The 14,207-nt window shown below is 47.7% G+C and overlaps 1 long non-coding RNA gene across 1 annotated transcript, besides 3 other annotated features; it reads right to left on the bottom strand.

Annotated features, from left to right (window-relative positions):
• Positions 4,766 to 5,424: an enhancer, noted in NCBI's record as "NANOG-H3K27ac-H3K4me1 hESC enhancer chr21:44358196-44358854 (GRCh37/hg19 assembly coordinates)". NCBI's record gives its function as "activates a minimal SCP1, AML or CMV promoter by ChIP-STARR-seq in naive H9 embryonic stem cells {active_cell/tissue: H9 hESC(naive)}" and the evidence as "EXISTENCE:reporter gene assay evidence [ECO:0000049][PMID:30033119]".
• Positions 5,425 to 6,082: an enhancer, noted in NCBI's record as "OCT4-NANOG-H3K27ac-H3K4me1 hESC enhancer chr21:44357538-44358195 (GRCh37/hg19 assembly coordinates)". NCBI's record gives its function as "activates a minimal SCP1, AML or CMV promoter by ChIP-STARR-seq in naive H9 embryonic stem cells {active_cell/tissue: H9 hESC(naive)}" and the evidence as "EXISTENCE:reporter gene assay evidence [ECO:0000049][PMID:30033119]".
• Positions 6,083 to 6,741: an enhancer, noted in NCBI's record as "NANOG-H3K27ac-H3K4me1 hESC enhancer chr21:44356879-44357537 (GRCh37/hg19 assembly coordinates)". NCBI's record gives its function as "activates a minimal SCP1, AML or CMV promoter by ChIP-STARR-seq in primed H9 embryonic stem cells {active_cell/tissue: H9 hESC(primed)}" and the evidence as "EXISTENCE:reporter gene assay evidence [ECO:0000049][PMID:30033119]".
• On the bottom strand, positions 6,545 to 11,283 carry LOC124905022 (uncharacterized). Its single transcript, XR_007067881.1, has 2 exons — positions 10,815 to 11,283; positions 6,545 to 9,432 (listed from the first exon to the last, which is right to left on the bottom strand). It is a non-coding gene; the product is annotated as an uncharacterized LOC124905022 (long non-coding RNA).
• Positions 11,284 to 14,207: the final 2,924 nt, after the last annotated feature.

Raw genomic sequence — 14,207 nt, 5'->3', positions numbered from 1 at the left:
GTGTGGAATGGATTTGATCCTGGGGCCATGTTTAGAAAATGGTTCCCAGCACTTGGCTGGGTGCAGTGGCTCAGGCCTGTAATCCCAGCACTTTGGGAGGCCGAGGCAGGTGGATCACGAGGTCAGGAGATCGAGACCATCCTGGCTAACATGGTGAAAGCCCGTCTTTACTAAAAGTACAAAAAATTAGCCGGCCATGGTGGTGGGCGCCTGTGGTCCCAGCTACTCAGGAGGCTGATGTGGGCAGATCATTTGAGCCCAGGAGGCAGAGGTTGCAGTGAGCCGTGATCTTGACACTGCACTGCAGCCTGGGCAAAAGAATGAGACCTAGTCTCAAAAAAAAGAAAAAAAAATCACCTTCATTTGGGACATCATGGCAAGCACTGGAGAGAAGCCAGGTGGTTCCCCATGTCCTGACCTGGCTTGAACATCACCTGCACACTTAGGTTATCATGTGCCTGGCAAACATTGACCAAGGAATGCCCAGCCTGCTGCCTGGGTACCAGGGACAGTGCCTACATCCTTCTGCTGCCCTAAGCAGGGTTCTGAGTGTGGTCCATCCCTCTTTTCCCCGAGTCACTGGGCAACTGCCAAATGCCGGGCCTTCCCTGAGCCCTGTGCACCAGAGAGCAGAGCCCTGGAGAGATCCCCACACTGTGTCCCACCCCTCCCCTGTGACTTCAGTAAGACTCGCAGTGTGCACTTGCTCATGACTCCCCAGAACTCTAGGATGGCACCAGTGTTGGTTTTTTCTTTCTTTTTGTTAGAAATAAATTTTTGGTGCCACAAAGAAATAGCACTCAAACATAAATTTAATTTTCTCAGCAAGGCAATGTTACTTCTATAGGAGGGTGCACCTCGAGGGTGGAGCAATGGTGAGAGCAAATCTGAAAAGGGAAGGGAAGGGGTTCTTATCCCTGATGCATGCAGCCCCTACTGCTGTGTCATTCCCATATTAGCTAGGGTTGGACCGCACCGTCTAAGCTAATTCCAGTTGGCTGTTTTAAAGAGAGCAGGGGTACGAGCTGGAGTGGCGGGGTGAGTAGTTTGGCGGGAAGGATGGTTACAAAACAGGTGACTCAGAATGACTCAGGTCAGAGCAGGTGATAGAGGCTAGGAGGGGACTGTTCACTGAAACTAGGGGCTAGGAGACGAAGGGAAAGAGGAAATTAAATTTTAAAATGAAGAACAAAGAACAGGGGAGCTGAACATACTGATGCACTGGTTCTTTGGAGAGGATCTCAGAACTCATTGTACTAAACAATTTACAGGCTAAAACCTTTGAAGAAGAATTTATTATATCCTACATTTTGTTTTTGTTTTTGAGACAGGGTCTCGCCCCGTTGCCCAGGCTGGAGTGCAATGGTGCAATCATAGCTCACTGCAACCTCCGCTTCCTGGGCTGGGTCAATCTTCCCACCTCAGCCTCCAGAGTAGCTGGAATTACAGGCATGCACCACCATGCCTGGTTAACTTTTAAATTTTTGTAGAGATGAGATCTCGCCATGTTGTGCAGGCTGGTCTCAAATTCCTGGGCTCAACGGATCCTCCTGCCTCCACCTTCCAAAGTGCTAAGATTATAGGCTTGAGCCACCGTGCCCATCCGGCACCAGTGTTTACCTGTGACAAAGCCACACCCAGACCCTCTACCTTCCCGCTCTTTGTCTCATGAATGAGTAATGAAACCATCCAGGCACAGAGACAAACCTCCTATTTGGTGGACCCGCTGAGATGCCCTGATTGCAAAACAACCATACCTGGAAATTGTCCTACCTATAACTTTTTGTGTGTGTGTGAGACAGTTTCACTCTTGTTGCCCAGGCTGAAGTGCAATAGTGCGATCTCGGCCCACCACAACCTCCGCCTCCCGGGATCAAGCAATTCTCCTGCTTCAGTCTCCCGAGTAGCTGGGACTACTGGCATGCACCGCCACACCCGGCTAATTTTGTACTTTTTAGTAGAGACAGGGTTTCTCCATGTTGGTCAGGCTGGTCTCGAACTCCTGACCTCAGGTGATCCGCCTGCCTTGGGCTCCCAAAGTGCTGGGATTATAGGCATGAGCCACCGCGCCCGGCCCTAGCCGGCTTCTTTACTGCAACCTGTTTTATCAGCAAGGTCTTTATGACCAGTGTCTTGTGCGAACTTCCTATCTCATCTTGTGACTTAGAATGCCTTAACCATCTGGGAATGCAGCCCCGGGAGGTCTCAGCCTCACTTTACCCAGCCCCTATTCAAGATTGAGTTGCTGTGGTTCACACGCCCCTGACACTCAAACACGTGCATTCAGACACTCACACGAGCAGGTGAGCGGCTTTGTGACACGCTGGCTGGAGAATTCCCTCTCCAAATCACAGTTCTGTTCTCAACCTTTTGTGCATAGGCCACTCTGATTTGCTCCCTGACTGCCAACCCCCGCCAAGAAAAACAGACTTTGGGCTGGGTGCGGTGGCTCACACATGTAATCTCAGCACTTTGGGAGGCCAAGGCAGGTGGATCACCTCAGGTTAGGAGTTTGAGACCAGCCTGGCCAACATGGTGAAGCCCCATCTCTACTAAAAATACAAATATTAGCTGGTTGTGGTGGCGGGCACCTGTAGTCCCAGCTACTGGGGAGGCTGAGGCAGGAGAATCCCTTGAACCTGGGAGGTGGAAGCTGCAGTGAGCCAGCATCATACCATTGCACTCCAGCTTCGGTGACACAGTGAGACTGCATGTCAAAAAACAAAAACAGGGTCGGGTGTGGTGGCTCACACCTGTAATTCCAGCACTTTGGGAGGCCGAGGCTGGCAATCACCTGAAGTCGGGAGTTTGAGACCAGCCTGACCAACATGGAGAAACCCCATCTCTGCTAAAAATACAAAATTAGCCAGGTGTGGTGGCGCGTGCCTGTAATCCCAGCTACTCGGGAGGCTGAGGCAGGAGAAGTGCTTGAAGCTGGGAGGCGGAGGTTGTGGTGAGCCAAGATAGTGCCACTGCACTCCAGCCTGGGCGACAGAGTGAAACTCCATCTCAAACAAAAACAAAAACAAGACTTTGTAAATAGAAAGATGTAAAGAAAGATAAGAATTTTGAGGCTGATACATTTCACATGCCCGGGGCTCTGTATTCTTTCTTCCTGGGCTCCTTCCCCATCCCCTGGATCGTCTTGTCATCATCGCCCCTGCTCACAGTGAACGATTTCCTCACTGGGAATTTCACAAGAACTGTAGACGCTGCCAGAATTCTTTGGCACAAAACTCCTCTGAGTCAGAGCCTAACGCTGTTAGCAAGGGAAGAACAGCTGCAAGGGCCACACATCTGTGAGTCTTTTGAGAATTTTATGATGAATAAAAACTATCCGTTACACAGACTCATACATTATATATTAACCTAACATGTCTTCAATTGCACTGCTAACCGTCTCTTTTCATACTTTTTTCTAACGACACCCCAATCCCAACAATAAATTAAAAAATCTGAAACTTTGACTATCTAGTAGCACTGCATGCCGTTTCCTAGTCGTATTCCTATTCCGCCTTTGGAGTAGCCATTCCCTTATTCCTTTACTTTCTTAATAAACTTGGTTTCGCTTTACAGACTGGCCCTGAATTCTTTTTGGCACGAGATCTAAGAACCCTCTTTTGGGGTCTGGATCTGGACCCCTTTCCTGTAACATAAGGGTCCCTTCACTGCGCTTGTGACATCCCAGGATCACCCTGGCCTCTAGGCAGTGTAGCTCCAGCTGGGCTGAGTGGAAGAGCCACCCAACGTGTTCAGTTTTACAAGAAGAATCATAAATAGAGCATTCACCAAAGGGGCAGAAGAGAAGCGGAAACCCTCAGGGTGCTGAGATTGTGGAAAGAGAATGATGCACTTAAATAACTGAAAGGTTGAAAAAAGTATGAAGAGCATCAAAAGATGCTGGAAAATACACCTTAAAAATACTGTGACCGGGGGCGGTGGCTCACGCCTGCAATCCCAGCACTTTGGGAGGCCGAGGTGGGTGGATCACCTGAGGTCGGGAGTTCAAGACCAGCCTGGCCAACATGGAGAAATCCCATCTCTACTAAAAATACAAAAAAATCAGCCAAGCTTGATGGCGCATGCTTGTAATCCCAGCTACTCGGGAGGCTGAAGCAGGAGAATCGCTTGAACCCGGGAGGCAGAGGTTGCAGTGAGCTGAGATCGCACCATTGCACTCCAGCCTCGGCAATAAGAGCAAAATTCCGTCTCAAAAAAAAAAAAAAAAAAAAAAAAAACAAGAAACAAAAAACCAAAGAAAACTTCAAGCCCCATGAGCTGGCTTAGGCTGACTCCCGCAAGTAGATGCCTTAGTTTGCAACCCGTCTGGTGACACAATTAGGATTTTTAAAGTGCTCAGTGGCACAAGGAAAAGGGAGGAAGGGTGGAAACTCAAAGCCATGAGAAAGACAACAGCCTGGGCTGGCGCGGTGGCTCACGCCTGAAATCTCAGCACTTTGGGAAGCTGAGGTAGGAAGATCACTTGAGGTCAAGAGTTTGTGACCAGTCTGGCCAAGATGGTGAAACCCTATCTCTAGCAAAAAATACAAAAATGAGCTGGGCGTGGTGGTGCACGCCTGTGGTCCCATCTACTTGGGAGGCTGAGGTGGGAGAATCGCTTGAACCCGGGAGGTGGAGGTTGCAGTGAGCCATGGTCACGCCACTGCACTCCAGCCTGGGGGACAGAGTGAGACCCTGTCTCAAAAAAATGAAAGACAAGTGCCTGCTTTTAAGTACAACTCAGGCCAAGGAAGGGCTCCTCCATGCAGAGGATCCTCACTGACAGCAGCAGGTAAACATTGCACCTGTGTCCTGCAGAGGCCCTCGGAGTCCCCCCTCCCTTTCCTCAGATAGGAAGGTTCAGATTCCCAGGGCTTAGGTCAGTTTGCAGAAATGTCTTTTCCCCCCTTTCTTTTTTTCCATAAACTCCATAGTTTAAAGCTTCTTTCCTGGAAAATAGCTGTCGGTGCCATGAAACTTTGCCTGTTGCACTAGAACGTCCTTTCTAGAATTTCTCCCTTACTCCGGCAGCAGCGACTTTCCATATGTCCTGGAGAAGAGAGTGTTTTACCTTGGCTTCCTCTCATTGGCTCAGGGCCGAGGATGATATATTTTAAGCCGTACATTTAAAAATAAAAGTCTTGGCAAGGGTTCTGATGAACTAAAACCATCAAGACATACTCGTTAGCTTAGGCTCCCATCCGCTTGGATTTCATAAGATTTCAAAGCCAATGCTGGAAAGAGAAAAAGAAGGCCGGGCATGGTGGCTCGTGGCTGTAATCCCAGCGCTTTGGGAGGCAGAGGCAGGAAGATCACTTGAGCCCAGCAGTTGGAGACCAGCCTGGGCAATATAGCTAGACTCTGTCTCAACAACAACAAAATTAGTCGGGCGTGGTGGCACGTGCCTGTAGTCCCAGTTACTCGGGAGGCTAAGGCACGGGAACCTTGAAAATTTGAGGCAGGCCTCAGTTAATTTAGAAAGTTTATTTTGCGAAGGTTGAGTACGCACCCGCGACACAGCTTCAGGAGGTCCTGACAACACGTGCCCAGGGTGGTCGGGGCACAGTTTGGTTTTATACATTTTAGGGAGACGTGAGACATCAATCAATATAGGTAAGAAGTACATTGGTTCGGTCTGGAAGGCAGGACAACCTGAAGCAAAGGCAGGAAGACAGGAAGCGGGGAGGGGGCTTGCAGGTCACAGGTAGGAGACAGACAAATGGTTGCATTCTTTTGAGTTTCTGATTAGTCTTTTCAAAGGAGGCCATCAGACATGCATTTACCTCAGTGAGCAGAGGGGTGACTTTGAATAGAATGGGAGGCAGGTTGGCCCTAAGCAGTTTCCAGCTTCACTTTTCCCTTTAGCTTAGTGATTTGGGGTGGGGGCAGGGGCAAGATTTGTTTTCCTTTCACAGGCAGGAGAATCACTGGAGCTCAGGAGTTTGAGATTGTAGTGAGCTGTTTTAGCAGGATGAGCTGTGGACAAAACCCCTCAGACACCAAGATAGTGAAGGGAGTGGCTGTAATCAGCTGGGAGCATGGGCAGGCTAGCGTCTTAAAATCCGAGCTCCTCAGTGCTCAACTTCTGTCCCTTTTAAGGGCTCACAACTCTAAGGGGGTCCGTGTGAGAGGGTCGTGATCGATTGAGCAAGCCAGGGGGTATGTGACGGGGGCTGCGAGCACCGGTGGTCAGAGTGAAAAAGAACAGAACGGGAGGTTTCACAATGTCCTTCCACACAATGTCTGGAATCTATAGATAACATCAGTTCCTAGGTCAGGGGTCGAATTTTAACTACCAGGCTTAGGTCAGGCAGGCCCAGGCCTGGTTTCGGGTCTGCTTCCTAGGCGCCGGGCTACCTGCCTTTAGTTTCACTTCTCTTTTTCTGAGTATAGAACAATATAAAACAATATGAGAGGGTCTCTCTCTTACCTCATTCCCCTGCTTTGAGACTCTCACTTTTTATTAGTGGGAGTTCTCACTCTTATCTTTGCCACTTATGTCTTCTTGTTGTTGTACCTGAGCGAGTTAGAGAAAACGCCACACTTTGAGACGAATTAAGAGTCCGTTTATTTAGCCTGCGGCCAAGAGATGGCTAATGCTCAAAGTTCTCTTGGCCCCGAAGAAGGGGCTAGATTTTCTTTTATACTTTGGTTTAGAAAGGGGAGGGGGGGTCTAGTTAAAACAATTTTACAGAAGTAAAGTAGGCAAAAAAGTTAAAAGGATAAATGGTTACAGGAAAGTAAACAGTTCCAGGTGCAGGGGCTTTAAGACTATTACAAGATGATAGTCTTGGCTTTGGGCGTTATCAATCAGACGAATTCCTGGGAACTGCGGATATAGCTCGCCACAGTATCTTATCAGTTAACTGCATTCTTGGATGTGCTGGGAGTCAGCTTGCACAAGTTAAGTCCTTGAGGAAGGGGCTGCCAGGGAAAGAGCCAAGATGGAGTCTGTCTGGCTCTCTCAGCTAAGGGAGAGTCCATTCAGGTGGAAATGAGGCTAGGTGAGTAAAGGAAAGGGAGAGTCTAAGAACAGGGTTAGTAAGAACAAGGTTGGGCATTACATTGTACAATAGATTGCTAGTGATTCATATAGTACACTTGTGCTGATGCATTTTGGTGAACTAAGGTAGCGATGAAGCTTTTTATCATTTGAAGAGGTACAGGTAGCAAATAAGGGAGCAGTAAGCAGGTTTCTGTTACTATTATAACTCCTATTATAAGAGTTTTAAATCCTTCTAGTGCTGGGAACCACCTGGCTCCAGGGCCGAATCCGTGTTACACTTGCAAGGGCACATGTGCCAGTTTTGTCATATTTCTAACTATGTCTTTAACTACTTGTCTTTAATTATCTATGTGTACACAGTAATTAGTAAGGTTAAATTTCTTGTAGACCTCTCTTTCGCCTGCTAGCAAGTAGTCGATCTATTGATCGATGGCAAGTAGCTGCTAGCCAGTGTATTTTGATAGATAGCAGTTCTTCTCCGAGTTTCTTGCTGGGCCAGAACAGTCAAGGCTTGACCGGTTTTATTAGTGATGATTTCTAAAACAGCTTGCAACTGTATGATTTCGTTGAGCATGTAAATGGGGGTCCGGTATCCCCATGACCTGTGTTATGTCTAAGTGGCAGGCCTATAGTATCGTATAATTTTTTTTTTTTTTTTTTTTGAGACGGAGTCTCGCTCTGTCACCCAGGCTGGAGTGCAGTGGTGTGATCTCGGCTCACTGCAAGCTCCGCCTCCCGGGTTCACGCCATTCTCCTGCCTCAGCCTCCTGAGTAGCTGGGACTACAGGCGCCCACAATCATGAGTATTGTATAATTTTTTTAGGAGGCCATTCATCATCTTTTTAATTATCTATGGCTATGTTTCACTTTTTGCAGGAGGCATAGACAGGGAAGCCCAGGAGTTCACCTGTTCTTATGGGCAGTAGGAAGAAAGATGGTTTAATAGTGCCAATAACACAACTACCTGTCCACTGGTCAGGCAGCTTAGCATGGGCTGGATGTCTACATATCTAGTATAGCCCAGTGGGGGCCTCCAGCCCCAGTGGGATTCTGGGGGGGCCCAAACAGTCAGCAACTTTGGAAATTTACTGAATGGATTTTTATCTGTATGGCTTGAACTCCACATGTAACTGTTTTTGTGGTACCATTATACAGTTTTTGTCCAAGGCAACTAAGTCATCCTACAGAATGAGTGAATTCTTTCCTTTTTTAAACTATGCAATATTTTCTAATAATTGAGACTTTTAGAACCTAGAAATGATCAAGGTGATTTCTTTTGGGCCGGGAATTCATCAGGAACTGGGTCTGTAGGCACTAATTCTCAGGCTTCTTATGGCCATTGATCTCCTATTACAGTTTCTCCACAAACATAACATGAAGTGACATTTAGAGACTGGGCTACATGCTTGGCTAATTGCAAAAATGATTTCTGGTTTTTCCTGGAGTCTCTGGTACTGGCACATTTAGTTCATCATAGAAAGTCTGAAATACTGGTTCTAGAGAGAGTTTATGAACCTCCTCTTTTACTACGATATTTACTCTAGGATCTAGTCCTTTTCTATCCATGCCCAGAGATATGTGTTCTCTTTTTTTCTACCTTGGGTTTAAGGGATTTGTAATTACTAATTTTAAGGGGTTGCAGCTTCCACTCATACAGGCGGGGCTGCCTTCTCCTTTTTGGAGCTAAACAGGATTTTTTCATCCTTTTTCCAAGTAGTCCAGATGACACAAGACCAGTAATTACACACAGTTGCACATGAGCTTAATTCATGGCAGATATACTTATTTCCTGCCGTGTAACTTTTTTTTTTCAATTTAAAGAACCACATCTTATCCTATGCCGATTGCTATTGATAGTGGCACAAGCATTAAGTTTTAGGGTTATATGCTTGGGGACCCATCTTTCTTCTGTCTTAGCTGTTACTTTACTTGCGTCGCCTAGAAAATGACCAGTCCTTAATTTTATTCTAAAAACTGTGATCATGGGAGGCTTAAAATGGGTCATAACAGGCATCAGGTTGGTTATTTCCTGAGCTACATACCTTGGATAGAATAGCATTATACAAACAAGTTTCTTTTAGAGTCCCGGTACACTTATAATAACCATAAAATAACAGGACTGTAGCAATCTTTTGTCCTACCTTAGTGACTTGATGTATATACTGGGAACAGTCCTCAGTCTAAGGAAGGTCAGTTGAAGTCCTTACTGTACAAGTCCAAATTTTAAGGAAAATGAGTCCCGCGATGAGTTGTCTCATGCTTCGGCCGTGTGTGGACCAGTCAGCTTCCGGGTGTGACTGGAGCAGGGCTTGTCGTCTTCTTCAGAGTTACTTTGCAGGAGTTGGCGAAGCTGCTCCCATCCACGTACAGCTCCCAGTCTACTGATGTTTAAGGATGGTCTCGGAGGTTGGGCCCCCTAGAATAAACTGAGTCCAACACTTCTACACAGTTATGTTTAACTGGGCTCTCTGATACCAGGAGCAAGGTGGCGGGGCTTAGGGTGTTGCAAACTTCGATGCTTATGCGGGGATTTTCACAGAGCAAGCTTTGGTATCTAGTTAGTCTAGCATTCATTAGCTAATGATGTCCTTTGGTATTTATTAAAGTCACCACAGTATGGGGGGACTTTAGGTTTTGCCTAAGAGTTAGCTTATCTGCTTCTTGTGCTAACAGGGCCATTGCTGCCAGGGCCCTTAGACTTGGGGGCCAGCCTTTGGAAACCCCATCTAGTTGTTTTGAGAGATAGGCCACTGGCCTTGGCAGGGGCCCTACAGTCTGGGTTAAAACTGCAACTGCCTTTTTTTTTTTTTTTTTTACTTTTTTTTCTGTTAGCAAAGCAGCTGCCGCTACAGATTGAATGCATCTGGGCCATCCACGGGTTACTGGGTTAAGGATTTTTGATAGGAAGGCCTCAATGCTTTCGGGATACGCCCTTGTTTACACTGACAACAAAGTGGTATTAGAGTGTTTCCGGCTTATGGAGAATACCTTTAATTATCAATTATAGGTTTTAAATTTACCTTGGCTTTTAAAGAAATAGGGTATACTGTTTTTTTTCTTAACTACTTGTATATTTCTCTCTTTCTCTTTTTCTTCTCTCTTTGACTTTCTGTCTCTCTTAACTACTGTTGGGGGGAAGGGGTCTAAAACCAGCTGTGACTAAGTGTCTATGTACAGAAACTGGTCTGGGTGCCCTGGCTTACAAGTTACTTTGTGCCGTACCTTTGAAACAAGGGCCGTGTCCAAGCTTCTTTCTGATGGCCAACCTACCTCTAATGCTGGCCGGTCTATTTCACACAAAGTTCTAAGATTTCCTGGTGTCATAGTAACACCGTAATCTCCCTCAAATCCTTTCTTGAAAATTTTCAATATAGTTCCTAGTAGGGTGGGCTTATTTGTTTCTCACCCATGCTTCTTCAAGACAAAACACCACGCTCACACCACACGCACACCACAAAACAAAGAACAGGTAAAAAGGGCACACACACACTTTTGCAGTTTACACCAAACCAAAATCAAAACCAAAATCAGAGTATCCAGAAATCCAAGCCAGGTCAAAACCAAAACCAAAGTATCAAGCAATCTAAGTCAAGTCAAAAACAAAAACCAAAGTGCTGGTACAGGCACACTGTGGGTGATCAGGCCACCCTTCCACTCAAATGGAGTGGGCAAGTTCCCAAGACCAGTCCTGTCAAGCAATTCAAACCAAGTCAAAACCAAAACCAAAGTGCCTGTACAGGCACGCCGTGGGTGATCAGGCCACGCTTCCACTCAAATGGAGTGGGCAAGTTCCAAAGACCAGTCTTACCAAGTTTCAGATGTCTGGACTCCAGGTGCCAGTTCCTTCCCGGTGTTCAGCCACTGCATTGATCCTCCATGGGAGCCTGCCACACACTGCTCTGGGGGGCGTCCCACCGGGGCAAATGCCTACCCGGGAGCACTCTCAGGATCCGTGTCGCTCCAGCTGGTTGGAGTCCCCCGCAGGGATGTTCCACAGGGCAGGCTAAAGCCACCTAAGGAGCTGCCTCGACTGTCCATTAATCACCTCACTTCCCGGTCAGGGAACCAAGAAATGTAGCAGGACGAGCCGTGGACAAAACCCCTCAGACACCAAGATAGTGAAGGGAGTGGCTGTAATCAGCTGGGAGCATGGGCACGCTAGCGTCTTAAAATCCGAGCTCCTTGGGTGCTCAACTTCTGTCCCTTTTAAGGGCTCACAACTCTAAGGGGGTCCGTGTGAGAGGGTCGTGATCAATTGAGAAAGCCAGGGGGTATGTGACAGGGGCTGCGAGCACCGGTGGTCAGAGTGAAAAAGAACAGAACTGGAGGTTTCACAATGTCCTTCCACACAATGTCTGGAATCTATAGATAACATCAGTTCCTAGGTCAGGGGTCGAATTTTAACTACCAGGCTTAGGTCAGGCAGGCCCAGGCCTGGTTTCGGGTCTGCTTCCTAGGCACCGGGCTACCTGCCTTTAGTTTCGCTTCTCTTTCTTTTTCTGAGTATAAAACAATATGAGAGGGTCTCTGTCTTCCCTCAATGTGATCATGCCACTGCACTCCAGCCAGGACGACATGGTGAGAACTCATTTCTAAAAAAATAGAAAAAAAGAGTAGTGGCTGCCTGTGCGGAGCAACAGGACCACATCCCTCAGTGCAGTGGTTCTACTCCCTCCACTGAGCTGGCATCATGGGAACAGACGACCCAGTGGTGCAGGAAGCTGCTCTTGTGGCCCTGGGGAGCCTCCAGAAGGATCCTGCCATGCGGATCTGTGGGTCAGGCCTTGACTGACTCAGAAGTACAAAGAAGCTTCCCTCTGATCCGTCACTTTCTCCCCAGGTTTACAGCAAGACTATGATTCCCTGATGGGCTCTTCCTGCCTGCCGCATAGATGACATCAGGTCACTGAGACTGACTGCGGTATTGCAGTAAAGAAAGAGTTTAATTAATGTGAGTCCAGCCCCGTGGGAGATGGAGTTCCTACTCAAATCAGTCTCCCCAGAGGCTTGCAGGTTAGGGTTTTTATGGACAATCTGGTAGGCGTGGAGCTAGAGGATGGGTGCAGCTAAATGGTTGAGATGAAATGATAGGGGTATCACCTGGGCACTGTGGCTCATGCCTGTAATCCCAGCTCTTTGGGAGGCTGAGGTGGGAGGATCATTTGAGGCCAGGAGTTAGAGACCAGCCTGGGCAACAAAGTGAAACCCTTGTCTACAAAAAATTTTTAAAAATTAGCCAGGGAGTGGTGTGGTGGCTCATGCCTGTAATCCCAGCACTTTGGGAGGCTGAAGCGGGTGGATCAACTGAGGTCAAGAGTTCGAGACCAGCCTGGCCAACATGGTGAAACCCCATCTCTACTAAAAATATAAAAATTAGTGGGGCATGGTGGGGCATGCCTGTAATCCCAGCTAATGGGGGTGTTGAGGCACAGGAATCGCTTGAACCCGGGAGGCAGAGGTTGCAGTGAGCCGAGATTGTGCCAGTGCACTCCAGCCTGGGCAACAGAGCGAGACTCCATCTCAAAAACAACAATAACAACAAGAACACAACAACAACAGCCGAGTGCAGTAGCTCACACCTGTAATTTCAGCACTTTGGGAGGCCAGGGTGGATAACCTGAGTTCTAGACCAGCCTAACCAACATGGAGAGACCCTGTCTCTAGTAAAAATACAAAATTATCCGGGTGTGGTGGCGCACGCCTGTAATCCCAGCTATTCGGGAGGCTGAGGCAGGAGAATTGCTTGAACCTGGGAGGTGGAGGTTGCAGTGAGCCGAGACTGTGCCACTGCACTCCAGCCTGGGCAACAAGAGTGAAACTCCATCTCAAAAACAACCACCACCACCACAACAACAAAACAATTAGCCAGGCGTGGTGGCACATGCCTGTAGTTCTAGCTACTTGGGAGGCTGAGGTGGGAGGATCACTTCAATCACAGAGTTGGAGGCTGCAGTGAACTGTGATAGTGCCACTATATATATATATAAAGAAAAATCTTACAGGTATGGAGAACAGTCCTCCTGTGCTGAGTCTGCCTCTGGGTGGGGCCACAGGATTGGCTGGGTCACAAGTCACGGGTCCCAGTAGGGCCACTCAGTTGCCAATGTGAAAGGAAAATAAATCTAGGGACCCCCAAATCACAAAGGGAAAAGTCAAGCTGGGAACTGCTCCTGGCAAACCTGCCTTCCACGCTAGTCAAAGTCATCCCTCTGCTCACTAAGATAAAGGCATATCTGGTTGCCTCCTTTGTAAAGGCTAGTCAGAAATGCAAAAGAACACAACCATTTGTCTCTTATCTACCTATGACTTGGGAGCCCTCTCCCTGCTTCAAGCTGTCCCACACTTCCAGGTCGAACCAATGGACACCTGACACATATTGATTGATGTTGCATGCCTCCCTGAAGTATGTCACACCAAACTGTGCCCCGACCATTTTGGGCACATATTATCAGGACCACCTGAGGCTGTGTCACAGCATGTGTCCTTAACTTTGACAAAATAAACTTCCTAAATTGACTGAGACCAGTCTCATATATTTGGGGTTCACACCAGAAAGTTTGAAAAAAAAATCTCAAAAGACCAATTTCGTCTGGTCACGGTGGCTCGCGGCTGTAATCCCAGCACTCTGGGAGCCCGAGGCAGCTGGATCATCTGAGGTCAGGCGTTTGAGACCAGCCTGGCCAATATGATGAAACCCCGTCTCTACTAAAAACACAAAAATTACCCGGGCATGGTGGCGGGTGCCTATAATCCCAGCTACTTGGGAGGCTGAGGTAGGAGAATGGCTTGAACCCAGGAGGCGGAGGTTGCAGTGATCTGAGATCGTGCCATTGCACTCCAGCCTGGGAGACAAAAGTGTCTCAAAAAGAAAAAAAGGCCAATCTTAGGTTCTACAATAGTGATGTTATCTATTGGAGCAATTGAGGAAGTCACAAATCCAGCTGCCTCTGGCTATATTGTTCCTGGGCAGTAAAGGATTATAGGCCCAGAGCAGTGGCTCACGCCTGTAATCCCAACACTTTGGGAGGCCAAGGTGGGAGGATCCTTTGAGCCCAGGAGTTCCAGACCAGCCTGAGCAACACGGTGAAACCCCCATCTCTATAAAAAATACAAAAAATTAGCTGGGCATGGTGGCACGCGCCTGTGGTCCCAGCTACTTAGGAGGCTGAGGCAGGAGGATCACCTGAGCTCAGGCAATGGA

This window comes from Homo sapiens, chromosome 21, assembly GCF_000001405.40.
Source record: "Homo sapiens chromosome 21, GRCh38.p14 Primary Assembly".
NCBI lineage: Eukaryota > Metazoa > Chordata > Mammalia > Primates > Hominidae > Homo > Homo sapiens.
This window is presented reverse-complemented; position numbering and strand designations above follow the sequence as displayed.